Source organism: Homo sapiens, chromosome 15 (genome assembly GCF_000001405.40).
Source record: "Homo sapiens chromosome 15, GRCh38.p14 Primary Assembly".
Classification (NCBI taxonomy): domain Eukaryota; kingdom Metazoa; phylum Chordata; class Mammalia; order Primates; family Hominidae; genus Homo; species Homo sapiens.
In genome coordinates this window covers 101,632,191-101,652,557 of record NC_000015.10, presented here as the reverse complement: position 1 = coordinate 101,652,557, position 20,367 = coordinate 101,632,191, and the positions used below count along the sequence as shown (strand labels likewise).

General features: G+C 40.7%; 1 protein-coding gene and 1 pseudogene across 4 annotated transcripts, besides 3 other annotated features; both read left to right on the top strand.

The window, feature by feature from the left end:
- Positions 30-589: a silencer, noted in NCBI's record as "silent region_6892". NCBI's record gives its function as "represses an Ori minimal core promoter by ATAC-STARR-seq in GM12878 lymphoblastoid cells {active_cell/tissue: GM12878}" and the evidence as "EXISTENCE:reporter gene assay evidence [ECO:0000049][PMID:35858748]".
- On the top strand, positions 177-19,581 carry TM2D3 (TM2 domain containing 3). Of its 4 annotated transcripts, none has more exons than NM_001308026.2 (6): positions 177-287; positions 785-862; positions 2,397-2,554; positions 5,659-5,833; positions 7,396-7,471; positions 18,830-19,581. In NM_001308026.2, the coding sequence occupies exons 1-6, from the start codon at positions 197-199 to the stop codon at positions 18,879-18,881; spliced, it is 630 nt and encodes a 209-aa protein (NP_001294955.1). In that variant the 5' UTR covers positions 177-196; the 3' UTR covers positions 18,882-19,581. The 4 variants fall into 4 exon arrangements, with proteins under 4 accessions (NP_001294955.1, NP_510883.2, NP_001294889.1 ...); NM_078474.3 differs by lacking the exon at positions 18,830-19,581 and adding an exon at positions 9,914-10,710; NM_001307960.2 differs by lacking the exon at positions 785-862.
- On the top strand, positions 4,246-4,352 carry RNU6-807P (RNA, U6 small nuclear 807, pseudogene; annotated as a pseudogene).
- Positions 5,753-5,919: a silencer, noted in NCBI's record as "fragment chr15:102186842-102187008 (GRCh37/hg19 assembly coordinates)". NCBI's record gives its function as "represses an EF-1alpha promoter that drives an FKBP-Casp9 reporter gene in an ReSE screen in phorbol 12-myristate 13-acetate-treated (for megakaryocytic differentiation) K562 erythroleukemia cells {active_cell/tissue: K562(+PMA)}" and the evidence as "EXISTENCE:reporter gene assay evidence [ECO:0000049][PMID:32094911]".
- Positions 11,116-11,275: a silencer, noted in NCBI's record as "silent region_6891". NCBI's record gives its function as "represses an Ori minimal core promoter by ATAC-STARR-seq in GM12878 lymphoblastoid cells {active_cell/tissue: GM12878}" and the evidence as "EXISTENCE:reporter gene assay evidence [ECO:0000049][PMID:35858748]".
- Positions 19,582-20,367: the final 786 nt, after the last annotated feature.

The following is a 20,367-nucleotide window of genomic DNA, read 5'->3' as shown; positions in this document are numbered from 1 at the left end:
GAACAACCTCCCAGGCTCGCATCCTCCTCGGGGACCTCCCAGAAGGCTCAACCGGAAGAAAACCCGCGACCCGCGCGAGGACAGCGAAAGCGCAAACGCCGGCCGCCAGGAGTCGCAGCGCGCCTGCGTCCAGTTCACGCTCCGGCTCCCAGGCGCGCCCCGCCCCCCGGCCCGGAAGTGCGCAGGCGCTGGCAAGATGGCGGGAGGGGTGCTCCCGCTGAGGGGCCTCCGCGCCTTGTGTCGCGTGCTGCTCTTCCTCTCGCAGTTCTGCATTCTGTCGGGCGGTGGTGAGTCAAAGGCTGGGTTCAGCGCCGGGTGGGGCTGAGTGGCAGCAGGGCCCCGGGAGCTGCGAGGAGGCCGGGCCCACGGGCGGACGCTGACGCGGGGAGGAGGCCGAGTGCCGGGCTCCGGGCCGCTTGTCGCTGCATCTGGAGTCTGGCGCCCTGGCCGCCCGGCCCGAGGCCGCCCCTCCGCTCCGGCGACACCGAGCCCGCCATCGCGGCTGCGGAGCCCTGGCACGGAGATGGAGCGCTTGGGGGCTGGGCCGGGGAGGCGGAACTGGAGCGCGATGTCATCCTTCGGTCCCTCGTTGCCGGCTGACCTGAACTGATGTCTACTCTGTTGACGTTTCGTCCCTAAGCTTTGTGTTTTCTGGCTGACCAGCCGTGAGGTTTTCATGAGCAGCTTATTGGCCTGGTGTAGACCCGCCGTGTTAACCACACAAAATAAGGTTTTCTTGTCCCGGGATAACGTGTTTCTCTAATTGTACGATCCTTAAATTTAGAGCAATCGCAGGCGCTGGCTCAGTCAATAAAGGATCCGGGCCCAACACGCACATTCACAGTAGTTCCCAGGGCAGCAGGTACTAGACGTTTTCTATTCTAGTAAATACATGTAGTTATCTCTAGTAGTTTCTCTTTGTTTTTATAAAAATTCCCTTTAGTATACGAAGTCACTTTCCATTTTTGAATATTTATTGTATTTTAGATTATGTGAATTAAGGGTAGATACACAGCCATTTTCAGTAGATAGTCTTCGTATTTATACCTTTTGACGTTTCTGCCTCCTCTCTTTTTCCAATCCCACGCTCATTTGTCACCTTATTTCTATTATTTTTCCACTTCATCCATCAAAATAACCTTCAGTCCGTGCTTCTTTCCCTTCAGCAAATTTCCTCTACTGCTAAAACCCTGTTCCTGATGTTGGAATATTAAAGGCTCCCTCAGGACTGTGGAAATGGAAGGATTACAGCGGGACTGATGGAGACTTGAAATCTAGATCTGGTTTTGCTACTGGGATCTTGAACAAATTATTTATCCTCTTTGGACCTTGGTCCTCATCTTTAAAGCGGTGGGGTTGGTCTGACGACCTAAAGTCATTTCTGCTTTGTGATTCTAAGTGTCCACCTTCCAGCCACATAGTCACGGGATCAAAAAGAGTATTTTGTAGAATTGTTCCTTAATACAGTGAGTAAAGTAGGACCAGTTTTAAACAAGCATTAGTGTGTTTTGCTAGGTGGAGGCTCTGACTATAATTTCATCACTTTAAAGTGACATTACTTCAGTGAATTGAAACTGGCAGAGATATTTTACTGATTCTTATTTGGATGTAAAAAACAGCAGTGCACTTGAATTTTAAACTCAGATTACTTTTTAGAGAAAGCACAAGAGTTCTTAACTCTTGCAGGCTTTTGAAAGCCCTTCTTTTCAGGAATACTTGCAATTTTGATCCTTTCAGTTGGTAAAAATACATTGCACACTCATTAGGTTGGTTGGAAATAAGTTGCAGCTTACTGAAGATGTTATTAAAGTAGAGAACTGTTTTGAACTTTGGTAGCGTAAAACTGTAAATATTATATTAGCAAATGTGGCTTATCGAAGTACCAGTGTGAAATAATGACATTTTAAAGTTGATGCCCTGAGGATGTCAGTGGCTTCATTTCTGAATTAGTGAATTCAGATGAAAAGAACACGGGATTGGAAATGGAGAGATTTGGGTTCTAGTTCCAGTTTTGCCACAGACTTCCTCTGTGATTTTGCAAAACCCTACTGTAAGTTTTTTTTCAACTTACAAAATGATAGTCTTTTTTTTAAGCCCTTAATGTATACCCAGAATTTTCTATACATTATTTGTATATGAGCACCTTTAGTTTTCACGGCCACGTGGGAGGCAGGAATGAAGTAATGTTTTACAAGTGTGGTGCTCACCAGGTCCCACAGCTGGCCGTGGGCAGAATTCTGCTTTAATTGCAGGTGTCTCTGACTCCAGTCCCATGCTTCTTCCCTTCCAGTGCAGTGTCTACTTGCTAATGATCACGTCTCTTAACCTTAGAAGATTGTTCTCTGTTATTCGAATCAGTATTATAGGAGAATAAGCTTCTCTCTTGCCTCTCACAGAAAGTACTGAAATCCCACCTTATGTGATGAAGTGTCCGAGCAATGGTTTGTGTAGCAGGCTTCCTGCAGACTGTATAGACTGCACAACAAATTTCTCCTGTACCTATGGGAAGCCTGTCACTTTTGACTGTGCAGTGAAACCATCTGTTACCTGTGTTGTAAGTACTGCAGCTTACTTATTCTAAATAAATTCATTGTAAACTTTAAGTTAGAAGAACAATTCAGACTTGATTATTGGGAAGAAATTCTGAAGAATTTTTATATTCTTTTATGATTTCCCTTTTGAGTATGTAAGCAGAAATAAATTAAAAAACCCAATAGACCTTTCCATATCAGCTCACTACTGTTTTAGTTATAATGATAACTGTCAAGCCAGTTGATGTCTGCTGGAAATGCACTTGACAGAAATGTTGCTTTGTAGGACTGGAGAAGATCTCAGTCTACTAGCATATCTGAAGCAAGTCTAATTCGTTCAGATGGATTCTGTGTTCTCAATAGTGACAGCTAGTGTACAGAGGGGGTGGCAGTGTCTTTCTGCCATAGATGAGCTTTTGAAGGGCCAGTGCTTATCTGTGGTGAGAAGATGGATTCAGTAAATGCCGGAATGCCTGGTAGCTCTCTAGAACAAAATTAAGTGGAACGCCTGTCTTATCCAGAATAAATTCCAGATAGTCCAAAGATGTAATGTGAAAAATGAAACCCTGAAGTACCACAGAAAACACCAGATAGTTGCTGTTATAATCCCAAAATGGAGAATATTTTTCTAAGTATGAAATAAAGTTTAGAAGCCATAAAATAAAGAATTGATACATTTGACTCCTAAAAATTGGAGATTTCTGCATGACCTAAAAAAAAAAGCATAAAGGCAAAAGACATGGCAAACTAGGAAAAAGCGTTTCTAGAATATGTGACAAATAATACAGTAATATCAGTAATATATAAACACTTCCTAAAACCCACACGGAAAAGATGACAGTCTTGTAGAAAAACAGTGTTAGGACATGAGCAGATGGTTCATAGGAAAGGAAATACAAATAGATATATAACATGAAAAACATATAAGTTTTCTCATAGTATTTAATTAATACATTTTTAACCCTTAGATTGGCAATTTTTTTTTAATTTGATTAACTCTGAGTTTGTGAGAGTATAAGGGTCAGATGCTCATATCTTATTAATAGGTAATCAAATTGATCAACCTCTTGTAGGCGATTTGCCATATCTGTTAAACTTACACATGCACACAATCGTTGAGCTCGTAGTTGTACATGTAGGAATTTATGTTATAGATATCATTATACATGGATGCAGATAAGTGTGCTTATTTTTTAGCTGCATTGCTCATTAAAGCAAAAGATTCAAAAGAAGTGAAATGTCTAAGAACTGCTTAATTTATGGTACACGTGTAATAGAATAAACACCTTGTAGCCATTAAAAAGAACTAGGCAGCTCTAGAGGTAATGTACTGATAGATGTCCAAAATTAAGTGAAAGTATTGGGGAACATTAAATGTAGGTGACATAAATGTGCCTATGTGTAGAATCAGCTCTCTCTGGAAGCACAGAGCGTACTTGGCCTGGGGAGGGCAGGGGCTCCCGGCGGCTGGGCCAGACGAGGCCGGCTCACTTCTCACTCTCCTGTTGTGTCTTGACATGTGTTCCATGTACATGTGTCACCTACTTTTTAAAAAACCATTAAAAAAAGTGTGTTTTAAGCACATCACTGAAAATAGGCAGATGTAAACGTATTATTTTGCAGATCCAACTGTTTGCCTAAATCAAGTGATGCCTTACCCATATTTGAATGTTTTCCATAAAAAGTGGTTTTTGCATTGATAAGAAAATGAATAGTACTTGCTTCATCAGCGCATATGCCAAAGTTGGAACCATACAGAGAGAATTAGGATGGCTCTTCTGCAAAAATGACATGCAAATTTGTGAAATGTTAAAAAAAATAACAAACATGGGCCGGGCGTGGTGGCCTACACCTGTAATCCCAGCACTTTGGCAGGCCGAGGCAGGTGAATCACCTGAGGTCAGAGGTTGAGACCAGCCTGGCCAACATGGTGAAACCCCATCTGTACTAAAAATACAAAAATTAGCTGGGCGTGGTGGGGTGCGTCTCTAATCCCAGCTACTCAGGAGGCTGAGGCAGGAGAATCGCTTGAACCTGGGAGGCGGAGGTTGAAGTGAGCCGAGATTGCACCACCGCATTCCAGCCTGGGCGACAGAGCGAGACTCCATCTCAAAAAAAGAAAAAAAAATAATGTGTGTATGTGTATATATATGTATACATATATATACATGATGCTTCCAGAGATGTGTGACCACATAAAAATGATTTTGAAAAATATGCACTGCAATGTAATGTCAGGTAGAGTAAAAAGACTACAAAGTGCTTTCAGTATAATTCCATTTTAGTAAATTTATAAATATACATGTAGAAGAAACGGAAAGAAGATTAAAAGTGGTTAGCTCTGAACACCTATAGGTTTTTGTCTATAATCTTCAAATATGTAACATACAAAGAACATTCTACTTTTGTAAGCAGAATACAAAATAATGGCTTTTAAAATTGAAATGAAAAATTCTCTGGCCACCAGTGAACACTCACTGAGCCTCCACACACCATGTGGTGCTTCTGAGTTGGGCTGCCTCTGGATTAAACATGCCACATGCCCTGGTGGTAGGAGCAGCTGTAACAACCCTGAGTTGCCAGGCTGTGCAAGGTAGGGGATGTTAGGGAAGGTTGGCAACTCGGAAGCAAGGCGGTGTGTTAACCATTACAGAAGCATCAGGCTGGAGTTCAGGGACCTGGATTCCACTCCTCACTTGAAGCTCAGTGACCTTCAACAAATGCATTCATCAGTTCCTTCCAGCCATCCGTGATTGTGACTTTCTAAAATAAATTTTCCTCTTTTCTGCATTATAAAAGTATACGTTTACTATGAAAAATTTAGCTAAGCAAAAGTTATGAAATAATTATATCACCCTGAAATAACCTTTGCTATTTTGATGTGAATTTATCTAGTTTTTTCCCTTAAGTACATATGTTTGGGTGTGTAGTTTTATGATTATGAGGTCACATCATAGGCATTTGTTTTACATACATATTGTTTTGGTAACTGTTTTTCTGGCACTTACTCCTAGGTCCTAAATACAAGCATTTACGGAATTTTGTGCCATGTGACTGTGTAGTCTTACTGACATCTTAACAGACTACACCATTGTGATTGATGAGTTTTGTGTCATTTGCTACATAGGATCAAGACTTCAAATCCCAAAAGAACTTCATCATTAACATGACTTGCAGATTTTGCTGGCAGCTTCCTGAAACAGATTACGAGTGTACCAACTCCACCAGCTGCATGACGGTGTCCTGTCCTCGGCAGCGCTACCCTGCCAACTGCACGGTGCGGGACCACGTCCACTGCTTGGGTAGGTCAGAGTTCAAGGACATTTGTCAACAAAATGTTTTTCTCCAAGTTTATTGAAGGGACTTTAACCAGAAATTTGCGAGTCAAGTTACTTAATTAGAAACATTTATCAGCAGCTCTTTAGATGTGCCAAGCATCATCAATAAACTCAACGTACTAAAGTAAAGCATCCAGAAAATTGCAGTTCTTTTTAAATGTAATATTTGATAAAATAAGAAAAACATTTGAAGTATAAAGCATAATACACAGTAATTGACCTTTACCCAAAATAACAATGAAAGCAGCACCAATACCATTGCGGCCGCCTGAGTGCCTGAGTGCTTGCCTTCACCTGGTTGCCTTTCCTCCTCTTCCAAGGTAACCACCCTTTTGAATTTTTTATTTCACTTCCTTTTAAATTTTTTCTGTAGTTTTATTGTCTATATGTAATAAAATAATATTCAATAATGCATGTTTTAGAACCGTGTAAAATGATTTCAGGCTGTGTGCTCTTCTGGGACTTGCTTATTTCCTAAACATTGTGGCTCTAGGATTCATCCACGTGACTTCTCTTCTTTTTTTTACTTCTGTGTAATAATCTATTGTAAGATTGTATCACAGTTTATTCTCCAATATATTTGGTTAAGTGCTGTTTTCCGCTGTTGTGACTGTTCAAATTTCTTTGCCTGTCTCCCAATGGCACAGGTGCAAGAGCTTCTTCAGCATGTACTTTCCAGCGTGTGTCATTCTTTAAATGGCTGTATTGACTGGCATTCCCACCCGCGCTATGTAACTGTTCCTGATGAGCCATATTCTCTCCAAGAGTGGTTATTCTTAAATTTGGTCTTAAAGTTGTCTAGACTTCTTTTATATTTTGGATATTACCTGTGCTGTCCCTGAAACCCTCTCCCAGATTTTGATTTTTTTTTTTTTTGCATTATTGTATATTTTCATGAACAGAACTTTAAAAATATAATTACTGGAAGTTATTAGAGTTAGTCCTTTTTTGTGGTGGTTTTAAGAAATCTTTTTCTACCCCAGGTTAATAAAGACAATTTGCTACATTTTCTTTTGAAAGTTGTAAGTATAACATTTCACATTTAGGTTTAGAATCCACCTGGAATTGGTCCTGGTAGATGGTGTGAGGTAGATTCTACTTTAATTGTCCCCCCACATGGATGGCCAGTTGTCTCAACTCTTCCCTGTTGATCCGTGTGTGACCTCTGTCATAACACTCATACATGAAGTGTTTGTATATTTCTGGTTCTTGACTTTCTCTTCTTTTCCTATTGGGTGATTTTTATGCCTCAAGACTACACTGTCTTATATACTCGTAACTTCCCCGTAGGTCTTGATATGTGGGTGAGCATTTCATGTTCCTCACGTTGTAATCCTAACTTAGCTGATTTAAATATTACATCTATGTAGATAGATGGTAAGCGCTTTGTACTCTTCACTTCAACATGTATTACCGTAAAGAGAGTTGACTTTTCACATTTTAAATTTTGAGCCCATTTGTTACAATTAAGTCTTTCTGAGAGTATTTTTTATACCCTGTATTTTTCTTTCTTTTTTTTTTTTAAGGTAACCGTACTTTTCCCAAAATGCTATATTGCAATTGGACTGGAGGCTATAAGTGGTCTACGGCTCTGGCTCTAAGGTAAGCCTTGTTACTCGTAAGTGTAAAAGGCCGTTTGCATTTCTTTGGGATTGGTGGAATCTTCAGACATTGAGCTCAGTCCCCTTCATTCTTCACTCAGATCCTACCACGTGTGTTAGACTCTAGCAAACAGCTGGAAGAGTTTAGATGATCAGACCAGTACCTCCGTGGAGTTGACTGGCAGGCATGTTAGCTTTTCTCCCAAGATGCCTGCACATTACGTTTACCATTCTGAATGTACCACGAATCAGTAAAATGCTGTGGACTATCCAAAATAGGCAGTTTTATGATGTATATCTTTAATTTTAAGTAACTATTATAAAAAGTAATACATGATGAACACTGAAAACTGGAAAAATGAAAATGACAAAAACATTAAAAATTACCTATAATTTCATCAGCAGCAGATAATTATAGGCTTATATTTCTTACATAGAAATGTGCTGTTTGTTAAACTTCTCAACAGTACTTTAAGAAATTATAGCAGTTCTTCCCACCAAAGGGAAGGGCAGGTAAGACCCTGGTTAACTGATTAGTGAAAAGGTTACGCTGCCTACACTTGAAGTTTTGAGTTCGTGCCTGAGACCCTGAGGCCTGCAGCATTGCAGCCATAGGGCAGGATTTCTCAGCCTCATCACTGCTGACGTTCTGGGCTGAATGAGTTTTTGTCTTGGGGCTGTGCTGTGCATAGCAGGGTGTTGAGCAGCATCACTGGCCTCTACCTACTACTTGTCAGTAGCAAACCCCCCATCCCTTGCAGCTGTGACAGTGTGTCTCCAGATGTTGCCAGGTGTCCCCTAGGGGACAAAATTGCCCCTTGCTGAGAACCACTGCATTAGAATTTGAGCTGAGGAAAGAAGGATCTTGCCTGGCAGGAAAAGTGTAACTGAAAAGTAAAAGAGGGTGCCAGGATAGAAAATGAGACTAACAAAAATAAGATAGGGCGGGCGCGATGGCTCACACCTGTAATCCCAGCGCTTTGGGAGGCCGAGGCTGGCGGATTGCTTGAGGTCAGGAGTTCAAGACCAGCCTGGCCAACATGGTGAAACCCCATCTCTACCAAAAATACAAAAGCCTGCCATCGTGGTTCATGTCTGTGGTTCCAGCTGCGTGGTAGGCTGCAATGGGAAGATCACTTGAGCCCAGGAGGAGGAGGCTGCAGTGAGCTGGCATTGCACCACTGCACTCCAGCCTCAGTGACAGAGTGAGATTCTGTCTCAAAAAAAAAGATTAGTAACCATTGCTGACAATGGTTCAAATTAACAACTGGCTTTTTAAAAAAATAAATAAATGTTTGAAACTTGGAATAATTTTAATTTACAGAAAAGTTGCAAAGATAGTAGAGTTCTTATATACCCCTAACCTGGTTTCCCTACATTGTTAACCTCTTACAGTACTATACTGTAACATACTTTCAACAATTAAAACTTCTCAGCACTCAACATGGTTTTTTTTTTTTTTTGCTTTTTTTTTTTTTTTTTTTTTTTAACGGAGTCTCTCTCTGTCACCCAGGCTGGAGTGCAGTGGCTCAATCTCGGCTTACTGCAAGCTCCACCTCCCAGGTTCACGCCATTCTCCTGCCTCAGCCTCCCGAGCAGCTGGGACTACAGGCGCCCGCCACCACGCCTGGCTAATTTTTTGTATTTTTAATAGAGACAGGGTTTCACCGTGTTAGCCAGGATGGTCTGGATCTCCTGACCTTGTGATCCGCCTGCCTCAGCCTCCCAGAGTGCTGGGATGACAGGCGTGAGCCACCGCGCCCGGCAACATGGTTTCTTTTAAAATCATCACTGTAATGAGATGATGCCCAAGGTTTGCTTCAGGGTACTCTGGAGGGGAAAGAGGAGGGTTTTGATGAAACACAGCTGGCCAAGTGTTGATTATTGGAGCTGAGTCATGGGTACTGTTCTCTTTACTTTTTATTGTTAGGTGTTTAGAAATTTTCCATAATATAGTTTCAGTATTATTAGATCTTAGAATTTAAAAGATCCTTAAATCTTTTAAGGATTTATTCCTAACATTAAGATTTTAGAGATGAATGAAAAAATAGACTGAAAACATGGATGACTTGATCCAGGTCGTCCAGGTGGTGGTGAGCTCCTCCTGACTCCAGCCCTGACCCCGTGTTAGTGCACTTCCTGTTAGACTGGGTCTTTGCTTTATTTTGACTAAAAAGCAATGAGATTGATAACTTTAAAAAAAGAAAACATTGGTTTTTTAGTACAGCTAAAAATTGTATGTTTACTTTTGACATTTAAACTGTCTTCCTGCCCGTAATTATTTGGTGGTGTCAGTTTGTGAAATAGTCACTTGTGTTCCAGTTAAGGGCTACGATCAGGGGAAGCCCTTTCTCAAATCTGACATAATGTGGTGATTAAACCGTGACTGGCCACAGCTGGGGTGGAGGTGGTCTCATGGAATCCTGTCTGTTTGCCATCGCAGCATCACCCTCGGTGGGTTTGGAGCAGACCGTTTCTACCTGGGCCAGTGGCGGGAAGGCCTCGGCAAGCTCTTCAGCTTCGGTGGCCTGGGAATATGGACGCTGATAGACGTCCTGCTCATTGGAGTTGGCTATGTTGGACCAGCAGATGGCTCTTTGTACATTTAGCTGTGGTGTGTGCTTCAGAAAGGAGCAGGGCTTAGAAAAAGCCCTTTTGTCCGTAGGAGTTGATGTGGTGTGAGTGATATATTTCTATGTTTTTAATGTACAGCATCTGTACTTTGTTTGCCTTGATAAAGGTAAGATAAATGAAACGCTGAACTATGCTAATCTGGAATTTGTTTTTATTTGCCTGAAATATATTTTTTTCTGTGAAAAAATTAAAACGTACTTAAGCCAGGAGAATGAATTATACAGTGATTGAAAATCCATTTAATTCCTATGACTTTTGTTTTGTATTGCCCAAGTCAAACTACATCACTTGTATCTCCAGCCCAAATGTAGTCTGCCTTGAAAAGTCTTTCAGCTGTGACTGCAGGAAGTGGGAGTGTTTTTATTGTTAGCTAATTGCTGTGACTGCAGGAAGTGGGAGTGTTTCTGTTGTTGGCTAATTGAAGTTATTAGGCTCAGCTTCAGTCATGTGTAAGTTTTGCAGTGTAATACATATGTAGTCTGGTCTGTATATATGAAAATTTGAATTAAACTGCAGAATGTTTATGTCTAGTTATGGTTTAAATTTTCTTAGTAGTATATAAAAGGTAAGAGTACTGAAAAATTAATAAAATTGCAAGTTAAGAAATACTGTGGGCCTGTTTTCTATATTAAATATAATCTTGAATAATCATTACAACTTACCTTTATTGTTAAGAATAACATTTTTATCTTTCAGGGCATTACTCCATTCTAACAGAGTCATAATTGGCTGGTTTATTGACACAGTGGAAATATATAAATGTTTTTGAGTATAGATCTGTTATAGACCCTTTATCGGGGAAAAAAAACTCAGTTATTCAAAAAGATTTTTACTCAAGCTTGCTTTTGAAACATTTAAAAACTTAGCATTTTTTCTTTCAAATGTGGGTATCTGAGTTACTGCTTTTTAAACACTTGTGTGTATTATCCAGAAGACTGTTAACCACCATATCATATCTAGAAGCTATAAAATATCTGCATATTTCATTCAGCAGATGATTTATTGATTTCAGTTTACCTGAAAGGTTTCAGTGATCACTTGCTGCTGTTTAAAGCACAGTCCTTTTCTTAGTTGAGTGACAGTTCCATCTCTCGTCGCTAGGTGGCGCATCCCCATTACATTTGCTTCCCCATTCTAGTTCCAGAAACAGAAAAAAAAACTGGTTTTGTTTTGTTTTGTTTACGAGGAACTTGTCACAGAGCATGAGCAGTTCTTCAGGATGGGAGTAACCCGGTTTATGTGGACCTTTCTTTCTGAGAGCAAAGACACACTTTTTGTATCCGTTAAACTGTTGATTGAGCAGGTGTTTCTTTAGAAGACGATCTTTTCTTCAAGAAGTAGCCCCTTTGCTAACTATAATAAAAATGTCTCCTGAGTCTCCTTATGTAGCTCTGTGTAGAAGAGAATCTAATACTTCCCTGTTGAGCAACCATGCAAGGTGGAACCAGGGAGTCGGTGGGAAGTTAGTAGGAAGTATGCATTGCCCTTGGTGGAAATAGGTAACAGCATCCTTGATTAACCATTTTTGTGGCTCTGGGGCCTGAATTAGATAATGAAGCTGCAGTGTCTGAGAGTAAAGCTCAAAGATTCAGAATCCATGAAAGGAGGCATAAATGAACTTGTTCCCAAATCCTAAAAAGTTTGCACAAGGGCATAGCCCTTGGAACCTGAAGGATGTAAGCCAGTCAGGAATGCTTCAGATCAAGGACTTTGATAGAGCTGATGGCCTGAGACAGAACTAGCAGGAAATACGAAGAGATTTTCAAATAGTACAAACAAATTTATGAACGATGAACTCATACACAGCCCCAAAAAGAAACTGCAAAGTAAAACTATACTTTCAAAGGGCACTAGGGAGTGTGGGTGCAATCTCTTGTAGCAAATCCCATGGGCCTCTGCTGGCAGCAAAATGCCATGTTGGAGTCTGACCTTCAGGTTCTATTCCTCTGCTGTCTTAGATTTTCAGGATTGCTATAACAATACCATAAACGGCGTGGCTTAACAACAGAAATTTATTTCTTAAGAGTTCTGGAAGCTAGAAAGTCCAAGATGAAGGTGCTGGTAAATTTGGTATCTGGTGAGGGCCTTCTTCCTCATAACATCTTCTCACATCCTCACATGGTAGAGGCAGGGAAGATCTCTCTGGGGCCTCTTCTATAAGGGCACTAATCCCAATCCTGAGAGCTCCACCCTCATGACCTGATCACCTCCCAAAGGTCCCACCTCCTGATACCATCATTACAGTGGTGAGGATTTCCACATGTGAATTTGGGGTGGAAAAGACACAAATACTCAGTCCATCATGTGTGAGCTATGGGCTCTGACCCAGGGATATGATTAGATAGCCATCCTGTTCACACAGGTTGGGAACCATATCAGTCAACCATCCTCTATTGATAGTTCTCTAGACACTCAGAATTTATCACTGCAGCAGGCCATCTGTCATGATTTCCCCTTAAGAATCTCTACCTTGCTTTGTCAGCTCTCTTCCATTTACCCCAGTAATGCCTCACGGGAAGGTGCTGGGTTATTTATGTCTACCCCCTCCATTGTCCCTAGAACAATGCCGTGCACACAGAGGCTCTCATTTATTTGCTGAGTTAATGCCACGGGTGTCCTCAAGGTTTTGAAGGGACTGTGTACAATTCCAGGGACTGGCAGTTGAGGTGGCTGCAAGGAGATAATATATAGAAATTGGCTTCAAGTAAATATTTGTCTGTAACACCATGTTGATCTGATTTCTGCAAATTGCTGAGGAACAACTGGTTTATGGTGCGTATAAAAAGATTTTTTCAAAGATCTTATGCTTCAAGATTTTAAAATGTAAAAATACCTTCTCTATGCCACACAACTTCATTTCTCTGTACTTTTTTTTTAATGCCTTATGCCAGACTTGCATTTATTTTGGGCATATATCATCAGCTACGGAATATGCAAATGATTTTAATTCATCCTGTAAGCAATGAGTGGAAAATGAGCTGTACCTGATGCAGCTTCTCAAATACAACATTGAAAAAGCCTGAAAATGAAGGCACTACATAAGTAGAATATGCATAAAAAGGAAAAAAAAAAACACCCAGGAAAAATGGAGGCAGATTCCTCCGCTCCTGCTCTAAAGCTTCCCCTCTGTTCTGCCCTTTTGGTAGAGTATGAAGTGTCACATGAATGTTAGGGGGTAGACACATTTTTTAAACTTTTATTGTATATACATCGTATGCGTTTCTTTCATGGTAAGAGCACTTAAAATCTACTCTTAGCAAATTTATAATATGATAACTGTAGTGATGCTATGCACTAGACCTATTGGTTAATTTTGTAACCTAGGCAAATTTGATTTAAATTCTTTTAAATGTATTGAAATTGTCTTCCATAAACACAACACTTTTATGCAAAATACGCTTTGATGGAGACACGTGGACATAATTTACTAAGGCTCCACGAAGGCAGGGCTCTGGTTCTCTGCTGTAGCTCAGCTCTGAGAGCCCTGCCGGCCATGCAGCAGGTGCACAGTGACTAGGAGTTTGATGAATGAGTAAGGAGGAATTGCTGGGAGTAAGCTAAACACCTAAAAGTATTGCTGAGAATTTTTAAAGTGGTAGAGTGCAGCTGGATTGCAGCATCTCCCTTCTCAAATACTTAAATGATAAACACACTGTAGGAAAAGCCAGCACCTCCTTCCTGCCCAAAACCAGCAAACAAATGAAAACTCCACAGCGAACAAGCAAAAGGATACAGCCAAATGCCAAAAACGTCAAAAAATTGTGAATACAGGGAAAAAAAATTATTGCTCAGGTGTGTAAGATTACTCCCGCAAATGGCCCTGCTGGCGCAACAAAACTCAGAAAGTCTCACTGGAGGCCAGACGTGGTGGCTCACACCTGCAATCCCAGCACTTTGAGAGTCCGAGGCGGGCAGATCACCTGAGGCTAGGAGTTCGAGACCAGCCTGGCCAACATGGTGAAACCCCCGTCTCTACTAAAAATACAAAACAATTAGGTGGGCGTGGTGGCAGGTGCCTGTAATCCCAGCTACTCAGGAGGCTGAGGCAGGAGAATTGCTTGAACCTGGGAGGCAGAGGCTGCTGTGAGCCGAGATCATACCATTGCACTCCAGCCTGGGCAACAAGAGCGAAACTCTGTCTCCAAAAAAAAAAAAGGTGGGGGGGTCTCACTGGTGAGGAAAAACAGGTTAATTCGGAGAAAGAGAGGTATCTATATCTTTCTCCTGTTACTGCTGGGGGAAGTGAAAAGGGCTGCTGGGAAGAGACCAGTGAGAGAGGGCTCGTGAACAAACAGGAGGGACTCTGATGGGTTCAGGGGTTCCCTGCTGAACCAGATAAAGGATCCAAAGCCTGGGGTGACCCCCAGGGGTCATTGCATCATTCCCTGGGGAGGAAACTTTGATTCAGGACATTTAGAAAATCCTAGTCAAGAAACCAGAGACCAGATATTCTAGCAAAGATATAGTCTCAGCTGAGCTTTTCCCTGCCTCACTCCTAGCTATCAGGGCACGGAATGTAGAATAGAACACAAAATACAACTTGCAAAATGCTCGAAGAGAAAACCAAGGGAATTTGTTCACATATTATGAAGTTGTCCTTTTACATGAGAACAAAATGAAATGACTCACCACCCACTAGAATGACTATAATAAAAGGCATTCTTAACCTGCCTGCGCAACGTAGTTACGCCTGTCTCTAAAAAAAATAAATAAAAATAAGCAGGTGTGCGCCTGTGGTCCCAGCTACTTGGGAAGCTGAGGTGGGAGCGATCTTTGAGCCCAGGAGGTGGAGTTACAGTTAGCTACTGAGGACTAAACTCTGACCTTTTTTCCCTCTTGCCCAAATTCCTATCTAAGGGGCTGGGGAGTTGCACCTTATAAAATCTCAAAGCAGTTTTATTTAACCCTATGTGATGTGGCTTACTTTCCAACCTGACTCTGGCATAACATCACATGACAGATAAATCAAAATATTTTAACCCCAAATATGTTTCTTTGCCATATCTTGAAATGGCCCCGCATAGCTGTCTCTTGGAAAAATCTACATTCTGCAAAGAATCCCCTTCCCTTTCAGGTCTTTTCCCTGACACAGCAGAGAATCAGTCACAAATCTGGCACCTTTTTCAGTCTAAGAAACATTTCCAATCTATTCTCTCTGAAGCTCGCAATCTGGAGGCTTCATCTGCATGATAAGAACCTTGGTCTCCACAATCCCTTATCATAACCCAGACACTCCCCTCTGTTGATTAGAGGTCTTTAGACAATAACACTTTCAACCAATTGCCAATTAGAAAATCCTTGAATCTACCCATGATCTGGAAGCCCCTGCTTCGAGCTGTCCTGCCTTTCCAGATGGAACCAGTCTGCATCTTACATGTATTGACTGGTGTCTTATGTCTCCCTAAAATGTATAAATTCAAGCTGTAGCCGGACCACACCGGGCACATGTTCTTAGGACCTCTTGATACTGTGCCTCACTCATATTTGGTTCGGAATAAATCTCTTCAAATATTTTACAGAGTTGGACTCTTCATCGACACTGTGACCACACCACTGCACTCCAGCCTGAGCCACAGAGCGAGACACTGTCTCTAAAAAATAAAAGAAAAAGAAAACACAATAACAAGTATTGATGAGAATGTGGAGAAATTGGAACCTTCATATATTGCTGGTGGGGATGTAAAGTGATGTAGCTGCCCAGGAAAACAGTCTGGCAATTTGTGAAAATGTTAAACATAGAGTTACCATGTGACTTGGGGAATCTTCTAGGTATACACCCAAGAGAAGTGGAGATATGTTGTGAAAGTTGTCAGCACCAAAATGGGGTCACTTAGGTCAAACCCTAGCAAAATGAATCCGGGAGGCCCTGAAGGAGGAGTACTCACGCACATGTACCTATGATAAGAACTATTACAAGGACTCCCTGGAAACCATAAACACTCCATGTTAAGCTGCTGCTGTGAAGACATCTCCCCAGCAACAGCCAGCGTGACCAATGAGGAGCTATGAGCTTCAACAGTCAAGAGTTTTTGTTTCAAACCAGCTTACATGACTTTCTCCTTTTTGTCTTTATAAAAGTTTGCCTTGACCCCAGCATCTTTGGGTGTTTCTTGGTTCATTGTGGCATGGGTATCTTGGATTGCAATCCCCCACCAATCCCAGATAAACTCCTTTGGAGAGCCTATCTGTCTATTGTTATTTTAGGTTTTAGGACATACACTAAAAAACTCGTTTACAGCACCATTATTCATAGTAAAAAAGTGGAAACAACCCAAATGTCCCACTGATGAATAATACATAAACAAAATGTAGTTCATTCATATAATGGAATACTATTTCATCACATAAAGGAATGAAGTACTGATACACACCATAAGGTGAATAAACCTCAAAAACACGGTGCTAAGGGAAGAAAGCCAGTTACACTTTAAGCTGGTAACCTTTACAGCATATAAATTACTTCTTAATAAAGCGGTCTTAAAAAAAAAGAAACGGCTCAGTAACCACACATACATATGATAGAAGGGGAACGAGAGAACCCAGATGAAAGGAAAGACAGGAAGAAACACAGTCTGCGAAAGAAAGATGAAGAGTTCATCTTGAGGAAAATATAATCCAAGAAACACAGGAAAAGCCCCTGCGAAAACTCTGTACTATAGAACACTTAAGCGTATTTCTTCATTCAGCGAAAGTACTGAGCCCCTATGTGGCATGCACCCTCCTGAGCCCTGGGGATTTAGCACTAAGCTAAGTTCTTCCTTTCATGAAGCATGTCATATTCTTGTGCACAAAAATATAAGCACAAAGAGATGATTCCACTGAACCCCCGCCCCTCCCCATCAAGCAGGGAACGTTGATTTGTCCACACTGGAATAGATGCTTACTTTGAACACGGATTCGCCTTCTCTAGCTTTATTCACTGTTTCACACAAGATTGCTTCTGATCAAAGAATTTATTTCACAGTAAAAGAAATGTGGCACCAAAAGTGAGTTCATGCTGAGAAAGTGGAAAATGGCCCTGATAGTAGCCAGGCTGTGATTTTAATCACTAAATATAAAAAATGCTCACAGATTGCAAACAGTATTCCTTTTTTCTCCCTAGTTTCTTAAGGTAGATGCTTGGGTCACTAATTTGAGACATTTCTCCTTTTCTAATATAAGTATTATAAGTAATGCTATAAATTTCCGTCTGAACTTTGAGAACATTTCACAAATTCTATTATGTATAATTTAAAATATTTTATAATTTCACTTTTGAATTCCTTTTGGTCAAAAGATTTATATTATTATTATTGAGACAGGGTCTTGCTCTGTCACCCAAGCTGGAGTGCAGAGGCACGATCTCAGTTCACTGCAATCTCCACCTCCCAGGCTCAAGAGATTCTCCCACCTTAGCCTCCCGGGTAGCTGGGACCACAGGTCTGCATCACCATGGTGGGCTAATTTTTAAATTTTTTTCTAGAGGTAGGGTCCCACTATGTTGCCCAGGCTTGTCTTGAACCCTTGGGCTCAAGTGAGCCTCCTGCCTTGGCCTCCCAAACTGCTGGGATTACAGGCATAAGCCACTGCACCTGGCCCAAAAGATAATTTTTAAATAAAGCATTTAAAGATAATTGTTTAAATGAGTTATTGGTCTTAAAAATGTCCTCAAAGACATTTTCAAGATATATTTTTGTACTTAGTTTGTAGCTGGTTTTCACTGTGGTAAGAGAATAAAATTTGTATTATTTTAGTTATTTTAAATTTGTTGATTTGCTTTATGGCTCACATACGGTCTATCATGCTGAATGTTACATGTGCACTTGAAAATAATGTGTATTCCACTGGTCCAGGTCATGTGTTTTATCAGTGACGATTAGGTCAATTTGCTTGATAGTATTTTTCAGCATTTTTCTATCTTTGCCAATATTCCGTGTTCTTATTCTGTCAATTACTGACAGAGAAATGTTGCAGTCTCCAACTCTAATGGTGGCTTTCTGTATTTCTCTTTTCAGTTTTTTGTTTGTTTGTTTGTTTGTTTGAGATGGAGTCTTGCTCTGTCGCCCAGGCTGGAGTGCAGTGCTGCGATCTCGGCTCACTGCAACCTCCACCTCCCAGGCTCAAGCAATTCTCCTGCCTCAGCCTCCTGAGTAGCTGGGATTACAGGCATGCACCACCACACCTGGCTAATTTTTGTATTTTTAGTAGAGACGGTGTTTTGCCATGTTAGCCAGGCTGGTCTTGAACTCCTGGCCTCAAGTAATCCACCTGCTTCGGCCTCCCAAAGTGCTGGGATTACAGGCATGAGTCCCCATGCCTGGCCCAGACTGGACATTTCTATTGATATGCTTTTGAGTTCATCGATTTTTCGTTCCTCTATCATCTCTTGTCCACTACTGAGGCAGCCCAGTGAGTTTTTAATTTCAATTATTATATTTTTTGTTACATAATTTCCCTTGGTACCTTTTTATATCTTCTATTTATTTTCTACTTTCTATTTGTATTAAGAGTGTTAGTAATTGCTCAGTGAGGCATTTTCATGATAGTTGCTTTAAAATTCTTGTCAGGTAATCCCAATGTCTGAGTCTTCTCAACGCTGGCACCTTTTGATCATCTCTTCTCAATCAAGTTGTGAATGTCCTGGTTCTTGGTATATGGATTTTTTATTGTCTCCTGGACATGTTGGATATTATGTCATAAGAACTAATTGTTTTTTCTTTTAAATTCTTCTTCTTTTTGGGTATAGTCTGCAGGCCCAGGTGGGGCTTCATGTTCAGCTCACTGTTGGACTTCATTGACATCACCCTGAAAAAGGTGGATTTTTGAGGAGCGTGAGAAGAAGAGCATGAGAAGTGCTGAATTACACTGTGTTGTTGCAGATGAGCGTCCCTAACCACAGCAGTCCTTGAAGAAGAAAGATGGTCTGATAGGAACTGCTTATTCAGGAACACATTGCAAAATCTGTGGGTGTCCTTCGGGATCTGAGGGCCTCACTCCTACAACTGCAAGGAATTGAATTCTTCTAACAGTGTGATGAGGTTGGAAGAAGACTCCAAGATCCAGAAAGGAACACAGTCCCACCAACACCTGTGTTGTAACCTGGTGACACCCTGAAACAGAGAATCCAGCTAAGCGATGCCCAAAATATTCATCCACAACGTGTTGTTTTAAGCTTCCAAGTTTCTAGTAATTTGTTATAAAGCAATAGAAAAGTAATATATCCTTTCCGAGGCTCATCTTCATTCCAAACGTTCCACATTTCCTTCTGTTATCATTTATTTTCTGTCGGAATTACTTCCTCCAGCAAAAAAATTTTTAAGGCAGTTCTGCTGGTAACAAATTTTCTTAGATTTTCTTCATCTGAGAATATCTTTATTTCACCCTCATACTTGAAAGTTAGTTTTGCCAAACATAGAATTCTGGGTGACAGTTTTTCTTTTTCTTTCAGCACTTGAAAAGTCTTATGACACGTCCTTCTGGCCTTCATGATTTCTGCTGAAAAATATGCTGTCATTTGAATAGTTTTAATGCTGTAGGTAATAATTGTTTTCTGGCTGTTTCTAAAAGTTTTAAATTTGTCTTTAGTTTTCAGATGTTTTATTGTTATGTATTTGGGCATGGATTTATTTGGATTTATCCTGCTTGGAGTTTGCTCAATCTCTTAAATTTGTCAACTTATGTCTTTTGCCCAATTTGGGAAATTTTCAATCATTTTTTCTTCAGATATTTTTGGGCACCACACTCTCTTTTCCATTGAGTCTCTGATCACATTAATTTTAGATTGTTATCGTCCCACGTGTTTGTGAGATTCTATTCATTTTAAAGTCTTATTTTCTCCTTATTTAGGATAATTTATATTGATCTAGCCTCAGATTCATTGTTTCTAATGTTGTCTCCACCTGCTATTCAACCCATTCAGTGACAGCTTCTTTTTATTCACATATTTTATTTTTCAGTTCTAAATTTTGTGGTAAGTTTTCTTTTTTTTTTTTAAGAAAATTTTTTTTTTATTATACTTTAAGTTTTAGGGTACATTTGCACCTTGTGCAGGTTAGTTACATATGTATACATGTGCCATGCTGGTGCACTGCACCCACTAACTCATCATCTAGCATTAGGTATATCTCCCAATGCTATCCCTCCCCCCTCCCCCCACCCAACAACAGTCCCCAGAGTGTGATATTCCCCTTCCTGTGTCCATGTGATCTCATTGTTCAATTCCCACCTATGAGTGAGAATATGCGGTGTTTGGTTTTTTGTTCTTGCGATAGTTTACTGAGAATG